Source organism: Homo sapiens, chromosome 10 (genome assembly GCF_000001405.40).
Source record: "Homo sapiens chromosome 10, GRCh38.p14 Primary Assembly".
NCBI classification, from domain to species: Eukaryota; Metazoa; Chordata; class Mammalia; order Primates; family Hominidae; genus Homo; species Homo sapiens.
In genome coordinates, this window is record NC_000010.11 from 108,460,711 (window position 1) to 108,471,828 (window position 11,118).

General features: G+C 40.0%; 1 long non-coding RNA gene across 4 annotated transcripts in view, besides 2 other annotated features; it reads right to left on the reverse strand.

Moving 5' to 3' along the window:
* LOC105378477 (uncharacterized) overlaps positions 1-5,687 on the reverse strand; it is a 70,747-nt gene extending 65,060 nt beyond the window's left edge. For 2 of the 4 annotated variants that reach the window (XR_946308.2, XR_946312.2), the window contains exon 1: positions 5,087-5,687. This is a non-coding gene — a long non-coding RNA (uncharacterized LOC105378477). The remainder of the gene's footprint in view (positions 1-5,086) is intronic. The other 2 variants (XR_946310.2, XR_946309.2) reach the window with 2 other exon arrangements.
* Positions 5,009-5,510: an enhancer, noted in NCBI's record as "H3K4me1 hESC enhancer chr10:110225477-110225978 (GRCh37/hg19 assembly coordinates)". NCBI's record gives its function as "activates a minimal SCP1, AML or CMV promoter by ChIP-STARR-seq in primed H9 embryonic stem cells {active_cell/tissue: H9 hESC(primed)}" and the evidence as "EXISTENCE:reporter gene assay evidence [ECO:0000049][PMID:30033119]".
* Positions 5,511-6,010: an enhancer, noted in NCBI's record as "H3K4me1 hESC enhancer chr10:110225979-110226478 (GRCh37/hg19 assembly coordinates)". NCBI's record gives its function as "activates a minimal SCP1, AML or CMV promoter by ChIP-STARR-seq in primed H9 embryonic stem cells {active_cell/tissue: H9 hESC(primed)}" and the evidence as "EXISTENCE:reporter gene assay evidence [ECO:0000049][PMID:30033119]".

The following is an 11,118-nucleotide window of genomic DNA, read 5'->3' on the forward strand; positions in this document are numbered from 1 at the left end:
ACTTCAGATCTGAAGTTCTAGCTTATCTTGATATTATAGAGAATAAAATTGATATCAAGAAATATGAATGCGTTATGATTACTTGGCTAATTAAATTTACATAGAGAATGAGAACTAGAACCTAAGAACTAGAGAACTAGAACGTCCTGTATTCCAGCAGAAAACACTTTCCTTTAATAAAGACAGTACCAATTATTAAGTACCCACCAAGCGTAAATGCTTTAGACATATATCTCACATGGTTGGCAAGCCAGGCAGGCACAATCAACATATTTCAAATAAGGAAATCAAAGAGACTTTCTGACCACTACATTGTTAATAAACAGGGATTCTAAGATTCAAAACTAGGTCTGTCTCCTACCAAATATTATGAATTTTCCACTACAGTGTCTTGCTTTCCTTGACACATTCCTTTTCATTGATGAATACTGCCAGAACACTAATTTTATTTAATTAGAAAAGAAAAAAAAATAGTCTTGCTGAAAAATACAAAAACAAAAAACCAAGTTTCATATATATATATTGTTTTTTTGTTTTGTTTTGTTTTGTTTTGTTTTGTTTTGTTTTGAGATGGAGAATCACCCTGTCACCCATGCTGGAGTGCAATGGCACGATCCTGGCTCACTACAACCTCTGCCTCCCAGGTTGAAATGATTCTCCTGCCTAGCCTCCCAAGTAGCTGAGATTACAAGCACATGCCACCATGTCCAGTTATTTTTTTTAATTTTTTTTTTTTTTTTTTTTTGGTAGAGATGGGGTTTTACCATGTTGGCCAGGCTGGTCTTGAACTTCTGATCTCATGATCCGCCCACCTCGGCCTCCCAAAATGCTGTGATTACAGGTATGAGCCACCACGCCTGGCCCCTATCTTCTTACTTTTAAAAAGTGGTAAAAAGATCTTTTCAAACATCAAATCAAGTGTTCATATCTGACCTCTCAACAGAATCGTATTTCCTTATTAACTCAGAGAAGTACTCTAACCCAGAAGAACCACAAATCCATTAAATGGTCTGCTGAATAACCTGAATGATCATCATGGGTTATCTTGGGCTCAAGGAATTGCCAGTTACAGATTCTAGCACTAAAAATAAAGAGATGAGTAGGTGAGAGGACCACTAATCACTACCTTAGGCAAGAAAGTGACATGACGGGCACATGTTTAAAGTCTTTCTTTTCTACAGAGAGATGAAATTACCAAACACCATCCACTGGAATTTACCCAACTAAATTATTTAAAATACAAGTTCTTTAATAGTCATTTTCCTATATCCTGCATCAAAGTCTGAAAGGCAAGATATTCCCTAGGCTTTGGTGAAAGATCAACTGGAGTTTATTTTTTTATCGTTTATACCTAATGTTATTTTTATTATTAATAGACTATAATTTTTAGAGCAGTGTTAGGTCCACAGCAGCATTGAGCTGAAAGGACAGAGAGTTCCCTGTGCCCTTTGCCCTGACACAGGCAGCCTCCCCCACTGTCAACATCCATACCGCCATGGGACATTTGTTACAGTCCATGAATCTACATTTACACATGATGATGACAAAAAATATTGCTTTCAATTCCTGCTACTGAATATTCTGTGGGTTTTGAGAAATGAATAATGACATGTATCCACCATTATACAACCATACAGAATACTTTCACTGCCCTAAAATCCTCTGTGTTCTGTATATTCATCCCTTCCTTCCACCTAACCCCTGACAACTACTTATCTTTTTACTGTTTTGCCTTTTCCAGAATGTGGTATAGTTGACACTATGCAGTATATAGCCTTTGCAGACTGGCGTCTTTCACTTAGCATTCAAGACCCTTCCATATATTTTATGGTTAGATAGCTCATTTAAAAAATCACTGGATAATATTACATTATATGGATTATGTAGATACAATGATACCATAGTTTATAAATATACTTATTGAAGGATACTTTGGTTGCTTCCAAATTTCTCAAATTATGATTAGAATTCCTAAAAGATTATGTAAAAGGTCCGGGTGCAGTGGCTTATGCCTGTAATCACAGCACTTTGGGAGGCTGAGGTGGGTGGATCACCTGAGGTTGGGAGTTCAAGACCTGCCTGACCAACATGGAGAAACCCCATCTCTACTAAAAATATGAAAACTAGCCAGGTGTGGTGGCGCATGCCTGTAATCCCAGCTACTCAGAAGGCTGAGGCAGGAGAATCGCTTGAACCTGGGAGGCAGAGGTTGCAGTGAGCTAAGATTGTGCCATTGCACTCCAGCCTGGGCAATAAGAGCGAAACTCCATCTCAAGAAAATAAAATAAGGTTTTATGTGCACGTATGTTTTCAGCTCATTTACATAAATGTTTCATTGGTATGATTGCTGGATCTTACAGTAAGAGTATCTTTAGTTCGTAAGAAACTTCCAATCTGTCTTACAAAATAACTACCATTTTGCATTCCCATCAGTTTTGGATGTACCACACCTTTGTTAGCATTTGGAAGTTGCCAGTGTTTGGGATTTTGGCTGTTCTAACAGGTGTGTAGTACAGTCCTGCCCACTGCTCTGTTCTTCACCTCCTCTGGTCTGAATGTTTGTGTCCCTCTCAGATTCATAGGTTGAAACCTAGTCACCAAGGTGATCGTACTGGGGACCTGGAAGGCTTTGGGAGATGATGAGGCCCTGACGTCAGAGCACTCACGGTGGGATTGGTGCTTTTAAAAAAGAAGCCCCAGAGAGCTGTTATACCCCTTTTTACCATGTGAGGACAAAGGGGAAAGATAGCTGCCTACTAACCAGGAAATGGGCCCTCGCCAGAGACAAAGTCTGCCAGTGCCTTGATCTCAGACTTTCCCACATCCAGAACTAGCAGAAATAAAGTTCTGTTGTTTATAAGCTACTCAGTTGATAGTATGTTGTTCCAGCAACCTGAACAGACCAAGTCAACTTCCTTGCCACATCACAGGTTTTCTAAACATCAGCTCTCTCTTCCATATAATGAGAATTATAATGCCTACTACATAAAATAGCTGAAATGAGATAATTTCATTTTTTCAGCTATTTGTTTTAAAAGATTAAAACAAATTCTTAAAGCTGGCCCAGGTTGAACCTCTAGTTTAACAGGAACATTGAGCTGATGGATGTCAACTCAAAAAAATGAGCTTCATGGAAAATGATCCAAGAGATGTGCTTTTTCATATAGATAGCACTAAAAATATAATAACATTAAGAGGATTCAAAGAAAAAAATTGGAGATGGCTCCTTTTGATAACCATTTCTCATAAATCATTGCCAATGAGAAACATCTGTTAACCTTCATCAAAAAAGTTTTATACACATTCACTCAATAAAATAAAATACACACACACGCAATGTACGTATGATATGTAATTTCCTATGAAACCAGACCAGAAAACGAGGGCTGGGGAAATTGAATATCTTTGCTTTTGAAGACTTGGGCAATAACTATTTTTCTCCACCCTTAATGTATATGTAAATACTGAAAAAGTAACCTGTCTGTGTGTGTCTATGTTGGGTACAATGTAGAGTAAAATATGTTAGGATACTCAAATTCTTAGCAATCACCACCTCTATATTTACTGCATTATTCTAGAATTCTGTGCCAGCCAGTCTCTAAGTTGTAACCCCAATAAGCTCCATTATACTTATAAGCAACCATGGATAGGCAAGGAGGGTAGAAGTTATTTGAAACAGTTCTTAATTGGTGTTACTTGTTAGCCAAATATATACTCTTCTCACTCTTCCAAGAAATAAACTAGATGAAAGAGATTGAATGCACAATTCATATTTTACAGCATAAATAATATCATTCATAAGTTATTTGCTTCATAGTCAGACAACTACATGCTTCTTTCGAAAATCCTCCTTTAAAGTCAGAAACTTTGAGTTAGTCAAAGCAGAAAGTTATTCAATCAGTTCAATAATATTTAAATTCAAATTGGAGGATTAATTATAGTGGCTACAACATGAAAACTCAACTAGGTAAGGTAGGAAGTGAGGGCAAAACCTTCAGTATCCAAAGGAAAATAATTTTTACTTCATTTATTTGATTACTCCAGAGTTAACTGCTATAAAATCACAGCCCATGTAATGAAGGCTGAATATTAGGGGGAATCCTGGGCACATTCTTATGAAATAAACTTCAGTACTAAATGCCTTATCATGGTTTGGCATAATGAAATCTATATCTGCGTACCAAGAATATTCATAAAATGCAAACTATTAATTTTGAATGTCCATGACTGTTATTATTAAAGATCTAGAAACAAGTACAACATGATAATGTGTACCTCTCCTGGAAAGTTTCTGGAAATTAAATGTCATATACAAACATCGTGAAAACTACTAAGCTGGATAACCATCGCATCTGACAAACAATAAAATTCTCAGTTTCTTAACTGAGTTTCCAATTTTTATTTCATTTTATTTTTATCCATCCTTACTTTTTATGGTCTCTTGCCTGCTTTATGACAATCTGGAGACCTTTTCACATTTGAAAATAAATGGTCTTGAGTCTTGAGCTACTGCCATCCAAGCTGCTGCCTTATTTTGAGGGCAAGTTAATTTCTAAGTTTAGCTTAAACAACAACAACAAAAAAAACTCCCTCAAATTCCGAACATATAGAATTTTCTAGAAACCCTAAAACTTTCCTGGGAAAGAGCCCAAATTATCAACGTTCACTTTTAACTATCTGCTTTGTTCCCAGCAGAATCCCAGCCTCAAACTCCAGTGCCAGCCTCCTGTAATGTAGTAATTTCTTCCCTCCCTCCGTAAAGGAAAGGCTAAGAGTTTTATTTTTCTTCTTGCAATAGGGGCGTGATGGGGGCATGGATGGAGGGTGTAGTTGTACTGGGATATCTGACCTACCTAGGACTGCTCACAGTGCACACACACACACACACACACACACACCCCTCCCTACACTGGGTCTTTTAGAAGATGCTGGAGTGCTGGAGTGCCCCGTCCGGAAATACACAGACAAGTTCTAAACTAACTAACTAACTAACTAACTAAATAAATAAATAAATAAATAAATAAATAAATAAATAAAAACAAAAAACTCCACAAGGAATACACTAAGGGCATGTATTGCAGATTACCTGTAAATTTAAACTTTTTAATGGTCGAACCCCAGATATTATATTTTAACCCCTTCCCCTTTTGGTCTGATCTTCAGCTTCACACATGGTGGCCAAGGAGTCGGGAAATAAGAGATTTGGAGAAAACTATTCAGCTGTCGGGTGTGTAGCATGAAGCAGTGAAGCCAGATCGCTCAGCAGATGAGGGAAGGTGCGCAGCACTTCCCAGTCCAGAAGCCCCACCCGCCCCCACATTCCAACAGACCAACCAACGGGCTTTGGAACGTTCCCCTTGTACCCAGCCACGTGGGAACCTCACAACTCCTGCTGTGCGGGCCAGACCATTGGACAGTTGCTGATTCTGTGCGAAGTGGCCTCCTCTCCTGCACCTGGTCGCGGTGGCGCGCCCCCATCTCCCGCTGAAACCCAGAACTTTCGGTTCAGCAGGGCTGGGAAGCAGCCGCCGGCGCCCACTTTTCCCACCGCGGGGGCGGAGAACAGCAGAGAGGGGTCCCAGACCGAAGGTGGCAGCGCGTGGCTCTGCGCTGGCGGCTGTGGGGGGCAGGCGCTCAGGACCCCAATTCCCTCCAAGTTGGGCCGCGGTGGGGGCGGGTGGAGGTGGCGCCGGGCAGCTGGCGGCCGCTCGCTGGGGCTGGGTTTGTGCCGAGCGCGAGTCTGGAAGGAGCGAGCCGCAGCCGCGCGGGGGTGGAGCCGAACTGAAGTCACTGGCTGAGCAGGCACGGGCGCTGGCGGGCACGCGGGAAGGAGGGCGGCCGATGCCAGGTCTCCGGGCGCTGGAGGCGCCGCCGGCGACCCCCCCCTAGGCCTCGCAGGCGCTGCCTCCGCCTATCCCCGCTGACCACTCTGCGCCCCCGCAGCCGCGGGTCTCCCTGCCTAGTCCGCGCACCCTGCCCGCGGGGGCGGTCGACCCGGGCTCCTGGAGGGTGGATATGTCGGAGTTGGGAAGGGGCTTTTCTTTGCCATCTGATTCCCAATGACTGGACACCTCTACCTGGCTTTTCACTCAGGCTCCGTGTTCTGGCCTGTGGGAAACCCTAGAAAGGTAGCCCTCAAAAATAATGTTGGATCCTTTGGGCCTATGTACACACAACATGCTCAAAAGATGATCTGAGGCAACAATTATCACTCTCTATGATCGATGAGGTTACAGCTGGTTAGTGGTGAAATCGGGTTCAAAACCAGTCTGATACATGATTATTTTACACTACTTCTCTTAACTTATAATAGTTACATGTATTGCAGCTATTTTGAATTGGAATAGCAATTTATTTGATCAAATCTTCAAACTAAGAATGCTATGCTAGTTTATGCTAAAGGAAAAATATCCATATTCTCAGTTGAACATTTTCCATTTTGAGGAGACATTGTTTTAGAATACAGCATAGTCTCTCTTCCTTTAATGCTTCTGTATTCATTCAGGTAAATATTACCCTCAGTTTTCTTCCTTCTCATTTTTAGGTTTTCCGCTTCCTTGATGGTTTCATGACTAGCAAAAACATGTCTCACCATTAGAACAGTGACTTATTAGCTCTCAAAATGCTACACCTCTTGATACCATTTGAGAAGGTATCTTCTATTTTAGATTGTTTTTGTAAAGAAACGAGAGAAAACTAGAGGAAGAGCAAAGATGCTGGTTCTTTTCACACCCTACCCAGGGAATGATGATACTGTCCTTTAAAATATTGCCACGCATCAACAAATTCTGGAAGGGGCCTGAAACCAATCATTGTAGCTCTGCTTAAATTCCAAACTACAGTGGCTTAAGAAGAGGGCTTAAGTTCTCCAATTTTATAAATATTTGACTAAGATCTTTAATCAATTTACAAGGAAGTTATAAAAGGTAAAACCACTTTATGAACAGCTTGAAAATAAAACATTACTTTCACACATTATATAACTCATCACAGTGTTAAATAGGTTCTGCACTTTTTTTTCCAAATTAGTAAATGTTACAGGTGCTCTGAAAGATAGGCGGGAAGAAGGAATTACCTGCATTCTTATAAGAAAATAAAATGCAAACAAACAAAACTCACAAAAAAACAAGCGTTTATATTTGTGTATACTAACCAATGTATACAGATACCTGTAAATCATTTTATATGTACCTGTATTTATATTATGCCACATGTGTGTTTATTAGGATGTCTCCAATTGTAATCCATAACCATATGTACTTTTCTAGTCTGCTTTCTTACTTATTGGTAATTCAAACCCCAACAGTGAGAAACCTGCAAACCATCATTTATCACTCATTTACTCATCTGTTTAATGCTGGTCTCCATGAATAGCTGTACCAAATTGTTAACTTGTAACCCCATGTGAAGTAACCTTACCAACTAGATTACAGGGTTTAAGTGCAATTCCTTTTTCCTTTAGTATAATAGGCTCCATTCATTTCCAAAAGTTATAGATTTTATATGTATATATATATATGTGTGTTTGTATACACACACATACATACATAATGTCAAGGATATATATGTATATATATATACACACACACACATACATATACTACATCCTTAACATAAACTTTTGTAAAGGAAATAAACTGCGTAAAATATAGACTACATATATTGTAAATTCAAATTCATGTGTTAATATCTTTAGCATTTTTATACATTTCACAATTTTAGCTATAAAGCCTCTCCTTTCAGTTGATCCATTTGGATTTATGTTTATCACTGGCTTAGTAGCAGAGACCCAGATCAGATAATGGAAATAACTTCAACCATGGTATTTTCTCACATTGCCAACTCAATGTGAGAGGACTTCGCTCCAGGTTTTAGATTTTCAGGGATCTCTTAACTTCAGTTAAAGTTAAACACAACAAATTGAACATTTGTTACCTACCATGCTAAATATTTCAAAGAATTAGGGTATGAATGAGCAAGAATAATTTCTGCTGTTATAGTACCAACAATCTACTGGTATGTGTGGTTCCCATACACATCAAAATGTGACATGTTCCAATATTTTAAACAAAATATTTGAAGAGCTAATAGGAAAGGGAGAAAAAAAGTCGTTTGAGAAATCATAAAAAGCACAATGATATAGGTATTGTTAGAAAGATAAACATCAAAACCTGGGTTGCTTTCATTTCTAAAAGATAATGACAGAAAGAAAATGAGTTATAATTGTATTTAATAGCATGATATATCTGAGAAACAATTAGACTACTTCAGTTTAATTGAGTATACATAAAAAAAAGAAATAGGCTCAGAAACTTATTAACATTTTTGGGTAATTGGAAAGTGCCTATAAATAAATTATTAGGCAAAACATTAGTCTTGTAATCCATACGACAATGATTAATATACAAGCAGATAAGACTGTTATACATAAAGCAACCTCTATATCATAGGATCCCACAACACAAACTATGAGTTCAGTGCTCTAGCTACATATTGATGCCATTAAAAATTCTACAGAGGAAGGAAACAGAATTTTATTAGTTTGCAAAAATAATGTTATAGACCTAGAATCAATAAGTTGCATGCTCAGGCATTTGTAGGAGTGAGAATTACGCTGTTATGGTTGCCTGAGATCAGAATTATACTTGGTAACTATACAGAGTTTGAAACTGGTAAGCCTAAGTGGCAATGGAACTGGCCACCAGGGCATCATCTTCTGAGATTCACACTCTACTAACCACCAGGATACACAACAAACTCAAATATGTGGAAACCCACAGAAATTATTTTCTCCATCATTTGATCTCTGTTATTTGCATAGTAAAGGTAATATCTTTGAGGCCTGAGAGCCAATACATGACATTGGCTGCACAATATCTGCTTAGAGCTGATTTGCAATGGACTTTTCTTTGAGAATAAATGTGTCAGTTTTGCAGTGATTGGCACAGAGTAAATGATCAGTAAATGAGAACTTAAAATTGTCCTCTGTTCACTATTTCACCCTTCTTACCATGGACCATGCTGTCTTTTTCCCTTATATCAGGGGGTCAGCAAACTACAACACTGGACCAGTATGTCCTATTACTTGTTTTTGTAAATAAACACAGTTTATTGTAACACAACTGTGTTCATTCATTAATGCATCACCTATGGTTACTTTTGTGCTACAATGGCAGAGTTAAGTGGTTGTGATGATAACTGAATGGTCTACTAGTCCATTCTCACACTGCTAATAAAGACATACAGAAAAATGGGTACTTATGAAGGAAAGAGGTTTTATTGACTCACAGTTCAGCATGCCTGGGGGAGTCTCAGGAAACTTACAAACATAGCAGAAGGGGAACCAGAAATGTCCTTCTTCATATGGTGGCAGCAAGGGGAAGTGGCAAGCAAAAGGGGGAAAAGCCTCTTATAAAACCATCAGATCTTGTGAGAGCCGACTCACTATCATGAGAACAGTAGCATGGGGTAACCACCCTCATGATTCAATTACAGCCCATCTGATTCCTCTCACAACATGTGAGGATTACGGGAAGTACAATTCTAGATGAGATTTGGGTAGGGACACAGTCAAACCATATCGCCCTCCTAAATCTCATGTCCTTGTATTTGAAAACTAATCATGCCTTCCCATAAGTACCCCCAAAGTCTTAACTCATTTCAGCATTAACTCAAAAGTCCACAGTCCTATGTCTCATCTGAGACAAGGCAAGTCCATTCTGCCTGTGAGACTGTAAAATCAAAAGCAAGTTAGTTACTTCCTAGATACAATGGAAATATAGACATTGGGTAAATATAGCTGTTCCACGTGGGAGAAATTGGCCAAAACAAACTGGCTACAGGCCCCATGCAAGTCTGAAATCTAGCAGTGTAGTCAAACCGTAAAGCTCCAAAATGATCTCCTTTGACTCTATGTCTCACATCCAGGTCATGCTAATGCCAAAGGTGGGTTCCCATGGCCTTGGGCAGCTCCACCTCTGTGGCTTTGCAGGGTATAGCCCCCCTACTGCTGCTTTCATAGACTGGCATTGAGTGTCTGTGGCTTTTCCAGGCACATTGTGCAAGCTGTCAGTGGATCTCCCATTCTGGGGTCTGGAGAACGGTGGCCCTCTTCTCAAAGCTCCACTAGGCAATACCCAAATGGGGACTCTGTGTGGGACCCTTGACTTCACATTTCCTTTCTGCACTGCCCTAGCAGAATTTCTCCATGAGTGCCCCACCCCTGCAGCAAACTTCTGCCTTGACATCCAGCCATTTCCATACATCTTCTGAAACCTAGGCGGAGGTTCCCAAATGACAATTCTTGACTTCTGTGTACTCACAGGCTTAACACCACGTGGAAGCTGCCAAAGCTTCGGGCTTGCACCCTCTGAAGCAATGGCCTGAGCTGTATGTTGGCTGCTTTTAGCCACAGCTGGAGTGGCTGGGACACAGGGCACCAAGTTCCAAGGCAAGGGGGCCCCTGGGCCTGGGCCTGCAAAACCATTTTTCCCTCCTAGGCCTCTTGGCCTGTGATGGGAGGCCCTGCTTTTTAAAGGACTCTGACTTGCCCAGGAGACATTTTTCCCATTGTCTTAGTGATTAACATTTGGCTCCTTGCTGCTTATGCAGACTTGTGCAGCTAATTTGAATTTCTCTCCAGAAAATGGGATTTTCTTTTCTATTGCATAGTAAGGCTGGAAATTTTCCAGACTTTTGTTTTGCTGCCTCTTGAATGCTTCACTGCTTAGAAATTTCTTCCCCCAGATACCCTAAATAATTTATCTTAAATTCAACATTCCACAGATCTCTAGGGCAGGGCCAAAATGCTGCCAATCTCTTTGAATAGCAACAGTAACCTTTACGCCAATTTCCAAGAAGTTCCCCATCTCCATCTGAGACCACCTCAGCCTGGACCTTATTGCACTATCAGCATTTTGGTCAAAACCATTCAACAAGTATCTAGGAAGTTCCAAACTTTTCTACATCTTCTGGTCTTCTGAGTTCTCTAAGTCTATAAGAAGTTCCAAATGTTCTCACATTTTCCTATCTTCTTCTGACCCCTGCAAACTGTCCTAACCTCTGCCTGTTATCCAGTTCCAAAGTTGCTTCCACATTTTCAGGTATCTTTACAGCAGC